Raw genomic sequence first — 19,849 nt, forward strand, 5'->3', positions numbered from 1 at the left:
TAAATATTTATTGCCAGGCACAGTGACCCATGTCTGTGATTCCGGCACTTTGGGAGACCAAGGTGGGAGGATTGCTTGGCCTCAGGAGTTCTAGACCAGCCTGGGCAACATAGTGAAACCTTGTCTCTACAAAATATACATAAATTGATGGGCACAATGGCTCACACCTGTAATCCCAGTACTTTGAGAGGCTGAGGTGGGCAGATCACAAGGTCAGGAGTTCGAGACCAGCCTGGCCAATATGGTGAAACCCCATCTCTACTAAAAATACAAAAATTAGCCAGGCGTGGTGGCGCTTGCCTGTAGTCCCAGCTACTCAGGAGGCTAAGGCAGAAGAGTCGCTTGAACCCACGAGGCAGAGGTTGCAGTGAGCCGAGATCATGCCACTGCACTCCAGCCTGGGCAACAGAGCGAGACTCCATCTCAAAAAAAAAATTTATATATATATATAAACTGGGTGTGGTGGCGCATGCCTGTAGTCCCAACTACTAGGGAGGCTGAGGTACGAGGATCACTTGAGCCTGGGAGGGCAAGTCTGCAGTGAGCCATGATCGTGCCACTGCACTCCAGCCTGGGTGGTAGAGCAAGACCCTGTGTCAAAAAAAAAGTTGAGTAATTAATAAAATCATTTATTGTATGTGGCATACTTCTAAGGATTCTTTTATTTGCATGGCTCCAAGTGCTTGTTTTAGTTGATAATCTGAGGGACATGCATTGCCAGGTCCTCCTTACAGGCTGATAACCGTGATATTTACCATGTTTTACCTCCTGGCCACACATAGCTACAGTTATATAAACAACTTAGTCTATCTAAAATTAGGCACTTCAGTGACACACGAAAACGTTGTGCCCCACAGCATAGTTGCTCTGAGAGGAAGCTTCTTTGAAGTAGAAATAAGAAATGTGCAGCCACCACTGAAAACAGAATGGGATTTCATCACAAAAATGCTCATCTGGGCCATCCTCTAACATCTAAAGGATTTCAGTTGAGTAGACTACTAATATTCACTACTAGAATATAAGACACATTCTCATTGCCTGAAAGTTCTGTCTCCCTCTCATTAGTTTGGGTTTCCCTGAAGGCAGGGCTTGAGACAAGGACTCGAACGCACATTTATTCAGGAGATGATCCCAGGAAGCAGTACTAAAAGAACCCAAGGAGTGAGACAGGATAGGAGGAAATGACAATATGAAGTGTTCTAAAGGTTGATGCTATGAGCACTGGGACCTCCAGGAAAGAGTAAAGAATTCCTCCTCTAATTGTCCACTTGAAAGATGGGAAACTGGAACCTTTATCCTCAAACTCTTGTCCAGCATCATTAAGGGTTTTTCTGGGATTGCTAACTTGCCCTGTGTATTCGCAGGCTGTGCTTCCTAGTTGAGTGAGCTCTGGAAAAGTGCCTGAAGCAGAATGTCAGAAGGCATGTGGAGTGTTTGAGCAGTGCAAAGGGAGCTCTAAGTTCACATACAACTGTTCACCGCAGCTACAGCGAAAGCAAGAGGTGTGCCAAAGTGATGTGCGTGCATCTCAGAGGTATCTGCTCTATTCTCCCATCAATCTACTAGATTTCACTATACCCAGCCTGTAAACTGGGGATAAATATAGCAACTACCCTAGAGTTGTTATGCACATTGAAATTCAAATACCAATTTTTTTTTCCTTATCCAAAGCTTTTAGACATGTAGAATACAATGGCAGTCATGCGCCATGGCAGAGGCTGCTAGCTATCCACTCAAACACTTGTTCTCCTTCCTCCTCCTAAACAAAATCTCGAAGTTATTTGATGTAGTACACTGCCACTCAGGTGAAGGATATAGTGTCCTCGGGAGCCAGGTATAGTCAGGTGACTAAGTTCTTGAAATAAACATTTAACTGGAAATGTTCTATGGTACTTACAGAAAGTCTTCCTTAAGGCAAAGTGCCATGCTCTTCTTCCCCTTCCTCTACTGTCTGGAACAAGCTCTTGATGGTTGGAGTTCTAGCAGCCACCTTGGACCATGAGGATAATGGCCCCATTGAGGATGGCCAAGTGGTACTTTGGAAGGAGATTTGGTCCCCACTAACATTGTAGAACTGCCTTAGCTGCCCTGGGCTATCTCCAGACTCCTAAGAAAAATTCTATCTTGTATTAGGGTGTCTTGTTTAGGGGTTTTCTGATATATACAGATGAACCTCAGTGACGGTGGTGGGCTGAATAATACCCATCCAAAGATACCAGGTCCTGATTCCTGGAACGCATGAATGTTGCCCTAAATGGCAAAGTTCTTGCAGTTGTCACTAAATTAAGGGTCCTAAGATAAATAATTATCCTGGACTATTTGGGTGAGTCCTAAATGCCATCACAAATGCCCTTATGAGAGAGAGGCCAGGGAGATTGGACACAGAGAAGGTGATGTGAAGACAGCAGAGATTGCAGTGATGTTGCCACTAAGGAATGCCGGCAGCCACCAGCAGCTTAAAGAAAGACCAGATTCTGCCCTAGAGCCTTCTGAGGGAGTATGGCTTTGCTGACAAACTGTTTCTGCCCAGGGAAATTGTTTTCAGACTTCTAGCCTCTAGAACTGTGAGAACAGATTTCTGTTAAGAAGCCAAAGAAAACGAGTACATTAATCATAACTGATTCAAAGACAGTTACTCAATTGGAGGGGGCTTCCTGACAGTGGCACTGGGGTCAGGGGCCAAGGGAGCTAACTACTCAGTAGTGAAGAACAGAGAAAAGGAAACAAACCTCACTCAGCTATCCCTACACCTCAAGGCTGAAGTTGGGGGGCCTTACTTGGACCTCAGTCGGGCCAGCTCTCTGCTTCAGGTACATGATATGAAGACACCCATTTTCAGACGCTGTTGAGAGGTACACAGCCAATAAGACAGGGAGGCAGTGCTAAGAACCGGATCCTCTCCCTACTAGAGGCATGCTACCTCCCTCATGACAACTCTCCTGGGACAGTTTGTACTGGACATATTTTATGATTCTATCTCAACCTATGGTTTCCTCTTTGATGCCAATTCTCCACCTCCCATTGTGTGAAGCCAAGCAAAGCCTCCCCATCTTGACTTTATCCTAATATTCTCCTCCACCCCTAAGGACCATATCTGTTTCTTCCAACAATCTCTCTTCTGTTACCAAGATACAGTGTCACATACTTTACATACAACTTCCATAGGGCCATACTGTGCAACAGCTAGAACATGAGTTCTGAAACCAGACTGCCTGTATTCGAATACCTACTCCACTACTGTGTCCTTAGGCAACCTAATTAATGTCTTCCCAACTGTAACATGGAGTTAATTGTAGCACACTCTTCATAAAGTTATCATATTGAGTAAATCTGTGTAGTGACTAGGAAAGTGTCTGTCACATGTTAAGTGCCAAAAAAAAATTACTGCTGTTATCATTTACTACAGGGCAGCTGGGCTGATGCAGCAGCATTTGAAGCAGTCCCTGACCATGGTTACTTTAACCAGTTTTTTTTTCTGAGTGGCTTTTAGGTTTTCTGCCTTCAAAAAGATCCCCCTGGAAATAACCCAAATGCCCACCGACAGTAAGCAATAAATTGTGGTATATTCATGTAATGGAATACGACATAGCAATGAGAATGAATCTGTACTGATGATTCCATTGACACAAAAGAACAAAAACAGGCAAAATAATTTCTGGTGATAGAAGTCAGGGTAGAGGTTCCATAAGGACTCTAACAAGGTACAGGAGACTTGTAAGGTCCTATGTTCTATTTATTTATCTTGGTGATTATAAGGCTATGTTCTTTGTAAAAATTCAAGTTGTACAACCATGATTCATGGTTTTATTTTATTTTATTGAGGAATCTCACTCTGTCACCAGGCTGGAGTGCAGTGGTGTAATCTCGGCTCACTACAACCTCCGCCTCCCGGGTTCAAGCAATTCGCCTGCCCCAGCTTCCTGAGCAGCTGGGACTACAGGCATGCACCACCACGCCCAGCTAATTCTTGTATTTTTAGTAGAGACGGGGTTTCACCATGTTGGCCAGGATGGTCTCGATCTCTTGACCTGATGAATCGCCCACCTCGGCCTCCCAAAGTACTGGGATTACAAGTGTGAGCCACCGCGCCTGGCTGACTCATGCATTTTTATGTTTGTGTTATACTTCAATTAAAAGGTGTTTACTCAATTCCCCAAGTCTATCATTCATTGGTCAACCCAAGCACATGATACAACTGCTCATTCATCTGCTGACAAGTAAGGAAGAGGTGGTGAAGCCACCCAGGTGCTAGACGCAGTAAGCAATTAAGTCTGGAATTGGGTAGGGAGATTCCAACACTGGCTGGCAGCGGAAGGACACGTGGGAGAAAAAAAGGGTGCAGTTTGTGTTCATCACCAAAGAAAAGGGCCAGCCCTGTTTTCCTACTGAGAGATCTCTGCAGTGTGTCTTATGACCAAGAACCATGGCATTTCCTTGGCTCCCTAGCCAGGTCAAGGGCAAAGCGGGCGTGCTGTCCTAGGAATTAAAATGGCAAATACCAAGATATAATAGCTACAATAGCCTGGCATTTCTCAGTTTAAGGCCTAGAGTAGCATCCATTCCAAATAAAAAACTGAATAAACAGAAAATGAAAGCTTTAAGAGTGAAAGCTTTTAGTTTCCTAGTTAAGACTTTTCTTGAGAATGGATTCACTGGTGCAGACATAATTTTGTAGTACAATGAGATTTTTGTTACAGAGCTCAAGTTGTTAGAACTTCTATCTACTAGTGGTGTCTGATATAACCTGGGCTCTCCAGTGTTACAGTGGGCTTCCCAATCTCATCACAATCATGGGGTTGAGGAGCTGCCATGACTATAACTAAAGACTTTCCCATATATCATACACACAAAACATTTCTCCATCAGGTATGTTATCCCTGAAAACTTCAAACAACTGCTACAATGACAACACTGTTTAAGTCAAAATTCTGTTCCAAGGCAAGAAAACCTAACTCAGGTGTGCCAAAGCCAAAACCAACCAAACAAAAATGGAATTTATTGGCTGCTGCAATTCAAAAACCCGTATATATTTTTAGCTTCAGGCATGGTGTATGTGGCTGTTCAAACATTATCTTCAGTCTTTTACTGCTCTCCAATTCTCAGATGCATTTTTGCTGTGTGGACTTCATTCTCACCTCTGTAAGAGTCTAGTTCTTCTTCTCAGCATTAAAACCAATGGGGGTGGGCGGGGGGAGAGTATTTGTTCCTATTAGCTCTTGCAATCCTGGGACTCTAATTGAACCATCTTTGGTCATCTACTGACATCTGAATCATTAACTGTGGCTTGAGGGATGGATCAGAGGCTGAGTCAGGCCTGTGTCACACATTCCATTCCTGAGTAGAAGACGGAATCCACTCAGTACATTTCACTGGAGTGTACTATTACCAGTAAAAGGGGGTAAAAAATTCTGGGAGGCCAAAACGACAAATGTCCAGCACAGGCTTCTCTCCAGAGTAGACATGCTCAAGGTGACCTAGCTGGGAAGAAGTCCCAAAGGCCTTCTCATACTTGCTACACTCATAGGGTTTCTCTCCAGTATGGATTCTTTGATGCTGATGAAGATTTCTTTTGCTAGTCAAGGCTTTTCCACACTCATCACATACATAGGAAGACTCCTGAGTATGAATTCTCAGATGCCTTTTTAATTGTTCCTGAGCACTGAAGGCTTTTCCACAATCTACACAGTCAAAGGGTTTCTCCTCACTGTGAATTCTCTGGTGCCGAGTTAGTTTTGTATGAAAATTGAAGGCTTGTCCACATACTTTACAAGAATAAGGCTTTTCCCCTGTGTGAATACGCTGATGTTGGCTTAGATGGGAAGTCCTTCCAAAGCTTTTGCCACACTCATTACACTCATAGGGTTTCTCTCCAGTGTGGATTTTCTGATGCCGAAGTAGGGGTGAATTACCAACAAAAGCTTTGCCACACTCATTACACTCATAGGGTTTCTCCCCAGTGTGGATTCTCTGATGTATAACAAACTCGGAACTACTCGTGAAACTATTCCCACACTCTGTACAGTAATAGGGTCTGTCCCCACTGTGGATTCTCTGATGCCTGATCAGATTTGCATTATCATTAAAGGCTCGCCCACACTCCTCACACTGATAGGGTCTCTCTCCAGTGTGAATCCTCTGGTGCCGAATTAACGAAGAATTACCATTAAAGGCTTTTCCACACTCACTACACTCAAAAGGTTTCTCCCCAGTGTGGATTCTCTGGTGTCTAGCATAGTAAGAAAAGTAGCTGAAGGATTTCCCACACTCCTCACATATGAAAGGTTTCCTTGCACAGGGGATTCTTGGAACCTTTCCTTGGATATTTTTCACTGTGGGGATGTCCTGGTGCTTTTCCACATTACGTGTTTCTGGGAAGTCAGTTCTCTGAGGGACACTCTTCAGCTGACCATGTGACATCATCCCATCTCTTTCTTCAGAAATTCCCTGGATTAATGTGGACTCACTGTCAATGTTGGTCTCAACATCTGACATAAGAGATAGAAAACACAAATAATGCCACCTGAGAACTATACTAGAAATAATAGAGCATTGAAAATGATAAGGCTTTAAAAGAGATCATTTCAACTTTCACATCAGCATGCTGGGAAGAAAAGGCTGTTAAAGTGAAAGTGCCAAATATCACACAGGCAGAGAACATTGAGGTGGAACAGGGTATCAGTGGACACAACACACGAGACTGCTTCCTAAGCTTTTCTACTCTAATATTTGAATGATGTCTGGTCATCCCTGGCATGAGCTAGTATCTTTTGAATTGATGCTACTTACAGCCTACAAAATGCCAAAGAAGGCACAGGTCTTAAGAACAAGTAGTGACATCGGGGCTGGCAAGACTTAGAATCAGAAAGTGAAACAGAACAGTATCAGAAAGCAAAGGCAAAGGATGAATTGTTGTTCTTTTTAAAAACTCATACCCTGCAGATGTCCCAAAAGACTTAAGACACTGAACATTACAGACACTGGGTTGTGGCAAGACAGAGAGAAAGAAAATCACAGAAGTGCTTAGAGAGTATTATTCCCAATATGTTGTAAGATTACCTAGTTCAGAGGTTCTTAACTGCAGAACCACACATGGACTATAGACGATGAGGAAACGCCCTAAAACTGCTGAACCTCAAACATGCAGAGAAACTACTGTCCTAGACTCTCTATTTGAAAAGGGATGAACAGTTTACTTAGACACACCCAGACTGAGAGTATTCTTTCTCCTATCAGCAAAAAGGAGACAAACAGCCCATAAAATGGCATTTGTGTTCCAAAAGATTGGATGACATTTTAAATGAGTTAAAGTCAATCCATTTTATATGAAATGATGGGCTTGGTTTTAACATTAATGTGGGTTACCTGGGACTCATGTGATGGTTAATCAAGTTCATCCTATGAGTGTGAGTTAAAGGAGTAAGGGAACTCCGAAGGAGAATGTTCAGAGGAGAGTAATCTGAGATTGAAGTAAACAAGGTAACCAAGAGTCTGAAAAAGAATAATCACCAGACAGAGGAAGCGTGTGAGAACAAACCAACAGGTTCTCAATTGTCTTGATGATTCTTTTTCAGATTCTTAGAATAAGAGGCTGAAGTGCTGTGCTAGCTTCATTATTTTCCACGTATTTGCTCTCTGCAAACCACCTGCACTGAAACTCCTGCCTCTGCCTTCAATTTCACTGTTTGCTCTTGGTGGCCCCCATCTATTTGACTGTCTACTTTCTCTTCCTTCTCTCACTGAAATTAAATATCCCTTAATGGTTAAGATTCAGCCTTCATTTTTTCTTCCTGGGGATCGTTTCAACCCAGCTGTGTTAGAGTACTGTTTCAGACCTGCCTTTTATCTCAGACTCTCCACCCACCTTCTCAATGGCCTGCTCTAGCCATCCACTTGCCTATTCTAAAGGCACCTCACGCCCTGTGCTCAGCTCTGAATTCCTATGAATTCAAAAAGCTCCTCCCATGCCATGACTTCCTAGTGTTATCTGACTCAGCTCTCCCCATTTATGGCCAACTTTTGGGAAGATCTGGCCCATTTTACCTTCACATTCTCCGTCCCACTCCCAACAGCACTTAATACTTTTCTTTTTCGCTTTTTACATCTGTCTCCATAACTTGTACCTGCCAGAACTTCTTAAACAACGTTCAGCACATGGCAAGTTGCTCAAAAACTGCTCCTGAATAAATCCATCCCAACCAAGGAGGACAACTAAGGTAGGCAATGTTGAAACTCAGAAAGGAACAATGGATTCAAGGATTGCAGATGAGACGTACTGAGTGATTACATGTTGGTAAGAGTTAAGATTGGTGAGAAACGTTTCATATTTTACCTATTAGGTGAAATCATCTATTTTATTTAAATCCTGCCCAGCATGATTCATTTTAAAATACAGTGCTCCATAAAACGCTACAATTGTTGGTTCTAAATCTGCCTCACCTACCTTTACAGACGTTTTTGGTCCTCTCTGCTGGGGGATCATCCTGTGCTTCCAGGCCCCAAGCCATGTCCCCTCTCTCCAAAAGTGAGATCAGTGCAGGTTTGGGAACTGGGTACCCTGAAAACAGGAAGAAAATGGTACTTTTCAGCCCTGTATCTGCTGTGTCAAAAGAAGGAAAACCCCAGGAGTCTCAGTAAGAATAAGACCCACAGAAGAGGGTTCTCGACTGGAGAAGGCCAAAGAGATTCCGATCAACAGGAAACTGAGCATTTGTGACTTCTTCCTAAAAAAAACACTCAAGGATAAGTAAGTCAGTGAGATCCACAAGGCATGAGCAAACACAGGGAAGGGGACATGCCCTTCCCCAGACAACAACTACTACTTATTCCTTACTGTGCAGAGCCTCTTGGAAGATGGAACATACTCTTACCAGGGGACAGTAATTCCCTTCATTGGGAGACCAAAGTGACCCAAGACCTCTCCCTACCCAGCAATCTTTGAAGTTGGTCACTGAGCCTCAGCTCTGCAGTCACTCAGTGGAGGACACAAGAGACAACCTCTCCTCTCCACTCCACACTCCTCCCCCCAGGCTGTAAAAGAAGGAAGGAAACTGGAAAAGTACAGATCTGAGTCCTAGGAGGAAAATGGCCTTACCCAAAGCAGTCAGGTTCCCAAAATTCTCCAACATCACACTTCTGTACAGGGCCCTCTGGGCAGGAGAAAGGCCAGTCCATTCTGTCTTGGTGAAGTGCACAGCCACATCCTCGAAGGTCACCATCTCCTAAAACAACAGGTTCCTGCTGCCCCAGAGCCAATCCTCTGGCTCCGGGCCAGAGTGTGGGGCAGAGGGGACAGGTAGGGACTTGAGGGAAAGTCCTGTGAGGGATAGGTAATGAGAAAATGTGACAGAACTGGATATTAGACCATTATATGACTATTTTTACAACGAAAAATCTGGAACTTCTCTCACTACCAGAAGAGATTCCATTAGGATATAAAATTGACTGTCATAAAATGTGATTTAACATTTTTTAAACCCTAGGAAAAAAAGTCTCTTATTAGTTAACCTTCCTAGGGCAAAAATCTCTTTGATTTAGTAAATATTTTCAGTCTTTTACTTTTGTACCTACAGGTGGACAATTTGCTTCAAATGGTATCTCAGGACCCACCTATTCCTATTAGGTACTCCCTATTCTCAGCCAATCTATCTGTTCCCCACATGTGTTCACCCTGCCCCAAACCTTATGCCCATGAAACAAGCACAGAGTCATGGTTTGCACTGATGGGCCTATCTCATCCGACTCCCATTCGATTCTTGTATAAAGGACTGGGCTGCCTGTGCTCAAGAGCATCCTGTAGAGGGAGCTCAGAGTCTCCTGGCACAATCCACTCTGCTCCTTGATGGCTTTTCCTAGAAAACCATGCTTCTAGAATTAAATTGCTGCTGCTGGGTAGCTCTTTTAGCTCCTTATCTTTATAGCTCCAAGACAATCTGTAATAGCTTCTGCCAACCAAGCCTCATGCTTCTTGGGTTTTTTTTTCTTTCTTTCTTTCGGTTTTGGTTCTTTTTCTCTTTTTTTTCTGTTTTTGACAGTGTCTTGCTCTGTCACCCAGGTTGGAGTGCAGTGGCACAATCTCAGCTCACTGCAGCCTCGACCTCCCAGCTCAGGTGATCCTCCCGCCTCAGACTCTTGAGTAGCTGGGACTATAGGTGCACACCACCATGCCAGGCTAATCTTTGTATTTTCTGTAGAGACAAGGTTTTGCCACGTTCCCCAGGCTGGTCTCAAACTCCTGGACTCAAGAGATCCGTCTGCCTCGGCCTCCCAAAGTGCTGGGATTACGGGAATGAGCCACCATGCCCAGCCCCTCATGCTTTTTCAACAGACACCCTTCTCCCTCCCTGCTGGCCTCAACTCTACCTTTCCACAAAGTTCTGGCATCTGGTTTAGAGCCTCTATTCACTCCTCAGATGTTGGTATTGAACTTCGTTACCGGAGTGCTCAGGGAATACACTCCGACCTTCCAATGCCTCAACTGATTTTGCACATATCCACATCCCCCTCATCCCAGCACTGCCTCAGACTCTCTGGATGACCCAACACACTGACTCACCAAGCAACCCCAAACTCATCTTCCCCAAAATGGCTTCCTTTCTAATTTATATAAACTAAGTGGCAGTGTGACAATATTTTTCCCTCTCTGTTGATAACACCAATTTCAACCCAGTCTCTAATGCTAGAACTTCAGATTAATCCTAGACATTCTAACCCCCATCATCACTCATTGCTGACAGTTAATACTCAAGTCCTGCCAATTTTATTACCTACGTTATTTCTGGAATCTGACTCTTCTTCACTGTGGTACAATCAGTAAACTAGGTCAACAGCTGGGGACACTTTAGCTCTACTTCCAGTCTTGTCCCACACTGAATCTATCCTCTGCCCAGCTGACAACCTGACTTCATCAACTCCTGAATGAACCTCTTGAATGAATCACCACTAACTAGAGCAGTGGTATTCAGAGTGTGGTCTCCAGACCACCACCAGTAGCGGATGCAACACTTGGGAATTTGTTAGGCAAATTCTTGGGCCCCACTCTGAGAGAAGTCCATACTTCAGTGAGCCCTCCAGGTAATTCTGATGTACACTGAAGTCTGAGAACCCTGGATTGGAGGATAAAATCCAAACTCAGGAAACTGAGCTGTATTAGGTGACAAAGTGATGGAAAGGTGCACAACTATACACAGAGAATCTATCCGGGAAGCGCTGCAAACAAAATTCCAGAGAAGGAACAACAAACTCTAAATGTAATCTGAAAGATGGCACAAGTGGCAGAGAGAGAAGGAAAAACAACAAGACTTTGTGTCTCTCTGGAAATGGTATCAGGGGAGAACATAGTCAACAATTACACAGCAATTTAGAAACTGAGTGATCAGGACTGCAATATAGTGTGATGTCAGACACTTGTGGAAAAACCAGAAGAGGGTGGGAGCTCCAAGGAAGCTGATATATCAGTGACACAGTCAGGTAGAGAAAACTGAAGGATGTGAGAAATATGAGATTATGATTTGGGATATGGTTCATGGATACTAAGTTACTGGATAAATAAGTGCCAGGAGAAAAGAAATGACAAAGCAGCAACTCCGTCTCAAAAAGTGAAATGTAATTCAAGAAATCAATTCTCTGTCCCAAAAATGTAAGGTACTTATGTTCACCTTACAAATGAATCCAGTTAAGATGCAAAGCAATTATGTGACTGGCTCAAGGCTATGATGCCACTGAGGCCTAACAGATCCCTAACTTCAGGTGTCCTGTTGGGAGTGTAGACTTTTCCTATCACAGCCCATTGCCTCACTTCGCCAGCAGTACTGACCTCAAGGACATATGTTTCCTGATTCTGAAGCCCAAACTTCCTCCTTTCTTTTGGAGGACAAATTAGATAGGCCCCCTCTTTCTTGTCTTCTTCCTGCTGTCCCTCTGCTGCTACTTCCCAAAAACCTTGTGCCCTTGCTGATCTTAGTCACTTCCATCCTATCCTGGATCCCTACATCACCAGCCTGAGTCCCTCGTTCTCACAATTCCCTCTGCAGAGGGACAGCTACTGAACCTGGGGATCCTCTGGCCCAGGAGAGATTCTCAGTATTCAGGAGGCTGTACTTCAGCTTTCCAGATCACTCTCTCCTGTTTCCATCTTCACTGCCCCTAGCTCTTTCCCCAGCACCCAGTCCTACTGGAGGGAATCAGCAGGGGTTTTCCTACTGCTTTGGCTCTAAGACTTGCCAGAATCACCTTTATCCACCTCATTTCCTTCAACTCAGACCTCCATAGAGCTGACCTCAGGGATCCACAGCTCACCTGGTATTGAGCTTTCAGAGGCATGGCTGCCATGACCTGGTCTCCCTCTTAGCAGGCAAAGGCTGAGGGAAGAAACAGAGAGAACCAACAGTGAGCTCAGCCCAGTAAAATGCTCTCTTTAGAGCAATAAATTTGCCAATAGCAAGCAGCATTCACTTACTAAATGCTCACTGGGTTAGTGGTGCATAAATATGTACTTTTTAATCCACATCATACCATGAGGTTTGTAATTCTGAGGAAACAGATTTTGAAAGAATAAGTAACTTGTCCTAGGACACCAGAGCCTGTCCTCACCAACACCAAGCTAAATGAAGAGCAAAACAAGCAAAAGACACCAATAAACTCAGAGCGAAACCTAACAAGAAGAATCTCAGACCTTTATTTTTAAAAATAAATTTGACTGAGAATATAAAAGGTTAAAAATAGCAAGTATCATGCTTTTGGATGAAAAATACATATTCTCTTATTTAGTCCTCACAACAATCTTTTGAACCTTTAATTTTTCCCAAATGAGAAGACAAGGCTAAGAGAATAATTTCTTCTACCAAGATCACTCAGCTGGTGAATGGATGAACTCGGATCCCACACTAGATCTGCCAGGCTTCAAAGGTCATGTTTTTGTCTGTTTGTTTGTTTGTTGAGACAAGAATCTCACTGTCACCTGGGCTGGAGTGCAATGGCGTGATCTCAGCTGACTGTAACCACGGCCTCCCAGGTTCAAGCAATTCTCCTGCCTCAGCCTCTCAAGTAACTGGGATTACAGGCATGTGCCACCACACCTGGCTCATTTTTGTAATTTTAGTAGAGACAGGGTTTCATCATATTGCCCAGACTAGTCCTCAAACTACTGGCCTCTAGCGATCCACCCACCTCGGCCTCCCAAAGTGATGGGATTACAGGCGTGAGGCACCGCCTCCTGCTTTTAATAACTACACTAAATTCTTTCCAATAGTAATCCTAACAGGAATGCTTTTAGAACTGGCAAAATGATTTTAAGGTTAACATAAAATAATAGACAAGAATGGCCAAGAAAACTCAGGAAAAAAATCTCAGAGCAAGTCTTCCTTTACTTGGACCTGGAGCAGGCATCTTTTTTGTTCATTGCCCCACTCAAGGGCCATGAAAACCAGAAACTGATTACCAAAGGACCCTGAAGGGCCAACTCAACACACTAAAACATCTGGGTTATTGTTTTAACTATATCATCTCTTACAGACACTTTGTATTCTAGTTAAACAGCAATATTCTATAAAAAGCCAGCATCTTCCCTACAGGGACTTAATGCATGATGCTGTTTTCTGCGAGCCTCATCTTGTGCCGCCACCCTCTTTTCTCTTAGTTTAGCTACAATGGCCTTCTTTCAGTTTCCTCTGTGCTAACTCAGGACCTTCATACCTGCTGTTTCTTCTGTATGAACTACTCTTCTCCAATCTCAGAACCATTACAACTGAGATTCTCTGCCTGCCATTCTCTCCAGTAATCTAGCCGCCATTCTCTCCAGTAATCTATCCACCCTTCACCTTCAGATCATGATCGCTCTACAGACCAGGTCAGGTGTCTCTGTTAAACACTCCACTCGCACCGTACTCCTTTTCCTATATACCACTTAATCCAGTTTGAAATTATATATTGATTTGTGCTTTCTTCATTCAACAAATATTTATCTCATACATATTTCATGCAAGGCCACGTGTGACACACAACAGATGAAGTAGAGAGAGAAGGGGCATGATCCTGTCCCTCGCAGAGCTTAGTCTAAAGGAAAGACACATTAATCAAGATTCTCTCAAATAACTTTTAAGTCCACAATTTAAATCACTGCCAGGGGAAACTAACGTGGATGGGAAGCTTAAGAAAATAAATTAACTAAGGTATGAAGGAAATCTTTACAAAAGTAACAGCATACGCAAAAGCCATGTTCTAGTAGTGAAGGATCAAGAACACTGTAGTAGCAGTCAAAGGAGAGTGTGCTGTTAGATGATGCTGAAGAAGTCACAAGGGACAAAGCCACACTTTGTGCACGTCAAGAACTTGGTCTTCGATCTACGTGCACTAAGTCACGGGCAGGTGGAGTGAAATAACCAGATTTGATTAATACATGACTTTCCCATTGGGCGGAAAGCTTCCTGGGGGCGGGGCCCACGCCCCGCCTCATTCACCGCTGCATCCCCGGAATCTAGAGCAGGAACTGGCACATAGCTGCTCAGTAAGCAGCTGTGGCCCAATGAGCAGATGGGGTTTGGGCGGCGTCGAGAACAGAGGCGTCCCTTCCATCCAGCCGCCCATATCCACAGCCTCCATTTCCCAAGGCGCCGATGCAGGCGTGGGGGAGCGAAGGCACCAGAGGGAGACCGGGACCGGCCCGCGAGCAGCCTCCGCTCCCCGGTCCCGGAGGGGCCGCCCTGTCTCCCTCCACTGAGGCAGCAGGGACGAAGCCGACAGCCTTCTCTAGAGGTGCAGTGCCTGAGCCTAGCAAGGACTCCTAGGCGACAAACCCCAACACTCACCTCAGGAAAAACAGAAAGCGGTGCGTGAACGGAAGTGCGTCACTACTTTGGCCTTGCACCCAGGCTCACACGCGTACTCTCTAGGATGCCGGAGCGGTCTTCTCAGTGGTTGTGTGGTTTTACTCCCGGGAGGAGTTTCCACCCGGGGATCCTCAGAGACCTTGAATAGGAAAGAAAGTATATCATTGTTTTCGCTAATCTCTAACCGAAATTTAGCATTTTCTTCTATGTTGGCAACAAACTACTGTAGTATCAGCCGTATCTGTGACTGTCACCGATAGAAATCACAGATATTTTCATATCACATTACAGTTGATGCAGATCTCAGAATATGGCTATTCTCGTCACTAATTTGAAATTGTCCTTGTTGTTATCGGGCCCACCTCAAGTCTTGTCATTACATTTCATCACGTTGGTAAAGCTGCACTTATATTTCTGTATCACAAATTCTAAAAAACTGTTTAATTGTATGTTCATTGGTTTTGAAGGTGTCACCAGACTGCCAAAGGGTCTTTGCACAAAAAAGCTGTCCTCCTTAGAGGTAAAGACCCAGACACGTTAAGAAAGACCAGGTCAGCAGGCCAGGCGCGGTGGCTCACGCCTGTAATCCCAGCACTTTCGGAGGCCAAGGCGGGCAGATCACCTGAGGTCAGGAGTTCGAGACCAGCCTGGTCAACGTGGTGAAACCTCGTCTCTACTAAAAATACAAAAATTAGCCAGGCGTAATGGCGGGCACCTGTAATCCCAGCTACTCGGGAGGCTGAGGCAGGAGAATTGCTTGAACCCGAGAGGTGGAGGTTGCAGTGAGCCGAGATTGTGCCATTGCACTCCAGCCTGGGCGACAAAAGCAAAACTCCATCTCAAAAAAAAAAAAAACCAAAAAAACAAAAAAAAACAAAAAGAAAGAAAGACCAGGTCTAAGGAGGGATATATTAAGTAACTATTTAGGAAGTGAAAACGGTGGACATTTTTTTTTTTAATGACTGAATACAAGGCAGCCAGAGCAATCTATAATAGCCATGAATTTTGGATGACCTGATAGATGAAGGTGCCATTAGCTGAGATCAGGAATTGAAGAAGAGGAGCTGGTTTCAGGCAAGAAGGTGAAAGAATTTAGTTTCAAAAATACTGAACACACACACACACACCTGCCTTATTAACATTTAATTCACACACCATACAATTCATCAATGCAGAGTATAAAATTAAATAGGTTTTAGTGTGTTCAGAGACTTGCGCAAACATCACCACAATCAGTTTCAGGACATTTTCATCTCCCCAAAGGAACCTCATAACCATCAGCAGTCACTCTCCATTTTCCCTCTGGTAAGCAGAATGGTGTTTTGTTCCCCTCAAAGATGTATATGTCCTAATCTCTAGAACCTGTGAGTACATTAAGTTACATGACAAAGGGAAATTGAGGTTGCAGGTGGAATTAAGATTGCTAGTCAGCCAACTTTAAGATTATCTTGGGGCTAGGCACAGTGGCTCACATCTGTAATCCCAGCACTGTGGGAGGCCCAGGTGGGCAGATCACTTGAGCCTGGGAGTTCAAACCAGCCTGGGCAACATGACAAAACCCTGTCTCTACCGAAAAAAAAAAAAAAAAAATTCCAAAAAGGAACAAAAATTGGCCAGGTGTGGGCACACGCCTGTAGTCCCAGCTACTAGCTGAGTTGGGAGGATCACTTGAGCCTGGGAGGTCAAGGCTGCAGTGAGCCTTGATTGAGCCACTGCACTCCAGCCTGGGCAACAAAGCGAGACCCTGTCAAAAAAAAAAAGATGATTATCTTGGATTATTCAGGTGGGCCCAGTGTAATCATAAGAGTTCTTGAACGTGAAAGAGGGAATTGAAAGAGAATCACAAAAATGACAGCACAAGAAGGACTTGGCCCAACCTCACTGGCTTTGAAGATGGAGGAAGGGGCCAAGGGTCAAGGAAAGTGGGTGGCCTCCAGAAGATGAAAAAGGCAAGGAAACAGATTCTCTCCTTAGTCTAAATCCTGAATTTATACCAGTGGGACCCATTTTGGATTTCTGACCTCCAAAACTCTAAGATAAATTAGTGTTGTTTTACGCCACTACTCATGGCAATTTGTTACAGCAGCAATAGAAAATTAATAGACACACATGTACATACCTCTCTTCTTCCCCCAATTCTAGACAACCACTTTCTTTATAGATTTGCCTATTCTGGATATTTACATTACATAAATGACCATTAAGTCTGGATATAAAACAAAAACAAGTCTCTATTGTTAATTTTATCGGTTTTTAGAAACATGGGAACCCGTATGTTTACTTGGTGAAGAGTTGAGTATATTCTTGGCCAGAAGATGGGAACACTAAAATTAAAAACAAAAAGAGTTGGGAATAACTTATTTTTGTTTTGCAGGGAGTGGAAAGGAAGAAAATTTCCACTCTCATTTGTCTGGAAAGTCTCCCAGAGAGTTTTCAAGATCATTAATAATAATAGCTAATTCACACTGACCTGTCTTCCCAGCCAATGTATCACCTCTAAGGAAATGTATACTTGATATGTTTTGGCTCTGTGTCCCCAGGCAAATCTCATGTTGAATTATGATCTTCAGTGTTGGGGGAGGAACATGGTGGAAGGTGATTGGATCATGGGGGCGGATTTCCCCCTTGCTGTTCTCGTGATAGTGAGTTCTCATGTGATCTGGTTGTTTCGAAGTGTGTTGCGCTTCCTCCTTTGCTGTCTCTCTCCTGCTGGCCATGTGAAGATTGTGCCTGCTTCCCCTTTGCTTTCCACCATGATTGTAAGTATCCTGAGGCCTCCCCAGCCATGCCTCCTGTACAGCCTGTGGAACTGTTAGCCAATTAAACCTCTTTTCTCCATAAATTACCCAGTCTCAGGTATATCTGTATAGCACTGTGACAACGGACTAATACAATACTCATACTCATGTCTGTCACAATCTCTACCATCAAACATAATTACTTTCAAGCTTTGACCATTCCTTAGATTCCAATGGGAACCACCTTTCTTTCTGGTCACCTCACAGCCTAACTATCCAGCTCTCCCTCTAACTCCTACAGTATCTTTAACTGAAGCTATAAGTAATATCAGATCATGATACCCAGAGTATGGTGTATGATCATGGCATATTTACTGTTACTTAATCCTGACTTGAAAATACTAACTTCTCTCCCATATGTCTGAAAATCCCAGCCACAAATAGGCTGAGGCTGTGGTGGAACTTAAGTTTCATGCACAAAGTCATTTTTGCCTTGGCTGCAAAAAAATATGTAGTTAAGCTAAATATTGTGCTGCAGTATCTATACTGACATATAATTCAATATTATTCTCTCCTTGCAGCTGCAAACATACTTAATGATGAAAGACAGAATGTCTTTCCCTCCAAGATTGGGAACATGGCAGGTATGTCTGCTCTTACCACTACTATTTAACATCATATTGGGAGTCTTAGCAAGAGCAAGGCCAGAAAAAGAAATAAAAGGCACATAGGTCAGACACAGTGGCTCACACCTGTAATCCCAGCACTTTGGGAGGCCAAGGTGGATGGATTGCTTGAGGCCAGGAGTTCAAGACCAGCCTGGCCAACATGGAGAAATCGCATCTCTACTAAAAATATAAAAATGAGCCAGGTGTGGTGGTGTGTGCCTGTAATCCCAGCTACTCAGGAGGCTGAGACATGAGAATTGCTTGAACCCGGGAGGTGGAGGATGCAGTAAGCTGAGAATATGCCACTGCACTCCAGCCTGGGTGACAGAACGAGACTATCTCAAAAAAAAAAAAAAAAGAAAAAGAAAAAGAAATGAAATGAAAGACACACAGATTCGAAACTCAGAACAAAACTGTTACTATCTGCAGGCAACATGATTATCTGTATAAGAAGTCCCAAAGAATCTACAAAACAAGCTCCTAAAATTAAAAGTGAGTTCAGACTGGTCACAGTGGCTCACGCCTGTAATCCCAGCACTTTGGGAGGCCGAGACAGGCGGATCGCCTGAGGTCAGGAGTTTGAGACCCGTCTGACCAACATGGTGAAACCCCGTCTCTACTAAAAATACAAAAATTAGCCGGGTGTGGTGGCAGGCACCTGTAATCCCAGCTACTCGGGAGGCTGAGGCAGGAGAATCACTTGAACTCGGGAGGCGGAGGTTGCAGTGAGTAGAGATGGTGCCATTGCACTCCAGCCTGGGTGACAAGAGCGAGACTTCGTCTCAAAAAAACCAAAACAAACTAACAAAAACATAAAAACACTATGGGACAATGGCATTTGTTTGGACACAGGTCTCCAAATCTGCCTCTTCAAAAGAAACAGACACTGCAACTGCAAGAGCCTTGGTTAAAGACTTAAGCCGGCCCCAACTAAGAGTGGGGATGGCTTCCCTAGGAGGTAGGAATCAGCTGGAGTCCTTGCCTCTCCTGGTGCCCAGGCAGTGCCATCTGCAGACACTTCTGTCATCCTCCCATCCTTGGGGGGCTCTTTCTCCAGCTCCAGTTCGTGAGCGGCAAAGCTTGCAGCTGTACAGCCTCCAAGAGCAAACAGCCCAGGTCCCACCCGGCCACAATTGTATAGTGACGCCCTCCCCGTCCCCTTCTTTGAGCTGCGCTCAAAGGACCAGCCTGGACTGCTATGCTGTCTCACTCCCAACCCAAGCTCCGCCCAACTGTGGGTCCTTGCACTTTGGCACCTTTGAGCGCGGACTCAAAACAGGCCAGAAGCGCACCGCTAGCGAGAACGGTTAGGAGGCCGGAAGTGCGTCACGCTTGTGGGGCGCTTGGAGGCCAGAAGTGCGTCATGAGCACGGCTGCTCTTTCTACGGTGCAACTTTTCCGCATCTCGGTGTTTCCGATTGGGAGACATCCTCTTCCTTTCCTTGTACACACTTTTTTCTCTCCTCAGGAACCTCACGCCTGGGTCATTGTCCATTTGGGTGGGTCAAGAAAGCGATCGCTTCTGCCCGGGAGCAGTTGATTGTCAGGAAGGAATTCGTGATAAAACCGCCATCACCACAGGCCTAGATGGTGGCCGGTGTTTCCTGGTTGCTTACTGGTC

The 19,849-nt window shown here is 44.3% G+C and overlaps 1 protein-coding gene across 1 annotated transcript, besides 4 other annotated features; it reads right to left on the reverse strand.

Moving 5' to 3' along the window:
• Positions 1–3,795: 3,795 nt before the first annotated feature.
• Positions 3,796–19,537, reverse strand: ZNF19 (zinc finger protein 19). The gene is made up of 6 exons (NM_006961.4): positions 19,485–19,537; positions 14,802–14,961; positions 12,295–12,356; positions 9,092–9,218; positions 8,441–8,554; positions 3,796–6,485 (listed from the first exon to the last, which is right to left on the reverse strand). Exons 3-6 carry the CDS (start codon positions 12,325–12,327, stop codon positions 5,383–5,385), a joined length of 1,377 nt encoding a protein of 458 aa, NP_008892.2. The 5' UTR covers positions 12,328–12,356; positions 14,802–14,961; positions 19,485–19,537; the 3' UTR covers positions 3,796–5,382.
• Positions 4,151–5,350: an enhancer, noted in NCBI's record as "BRD4-independent group 4 enhancer chr16:71507841-71509040 (GRCh37/hg19 assembly coordinates)". NCBI's record gives its function as "activates an origin of replication core promoter dependent on BRD2, P300/CBP, MED14 and CDK7 cofactors, and independent of BRD4, by STARR-seq in HCT116 cells {active_cell/tissue: HCT116}" and the evidence as "EXISTENCE:reporter gene assay evidence [ECO:0000049][PMID:35650434]".
• Positions 6,767–6,886: an enhancer, noted in NCBI's record as "active region_11075". NCBI's record gives its function as "activates an Ori minimal core promoter by ATAC-STARR-seq in GM12878 lymphoblastoid cells {active_cell/tissue: GM12878}" and the evidence as "EXISTENCE:reporter gene assay evidence [ECO:0000049][PMID:35858748]".
• Positions 14,081–14,990: an enhancer, noted in NCBI's record as "NANOG-H3K27ac-H3K4me1 hESC enhancer chr16:71517771-71518680 (GRCh37/hg19 assembly coordinates)". NCBI's record gives its function as "activates a minimal SCP1, AML or CMV promoter by ChIP-STARR-seq in primed H9 embryonic stem cells {active_cell/tissue: H9 hESC(primed)}" and the evidence as "EXISTENCE:reporter gene assay evidence [ECO:0000049][PMID:30033119]".
• Positions 14,558–14,837: a silencer, noted in NCBI's record as "silent region_7678". NCBI's record gives its function as "represses an Ori minimal core promoter by ATAC-STARR-seq in GM12878 lymphoblastoid cells {active_cell/tissue: GM12878}" and the evidence as "EXISTENCE:reporter gene assay evidence [ECO:0000049][PMID:35858748]".
• Positions 19,538–19,849: the final 312 nt, after the last annotated feature.

Source organism: Homo sapiens, chromosome 16 (genome assembly GCF_000001405.40).
Source record: "Homo sapiens chromosome 16, GRCh38.p14 Primary Assembly".
Classification (NCBI taxonomy): domain Eukaryota; kingdom Metazoa; phylum Chordata; class Mammalia; order Primates; family Hominidae; genus Homo; species Homo sapiens.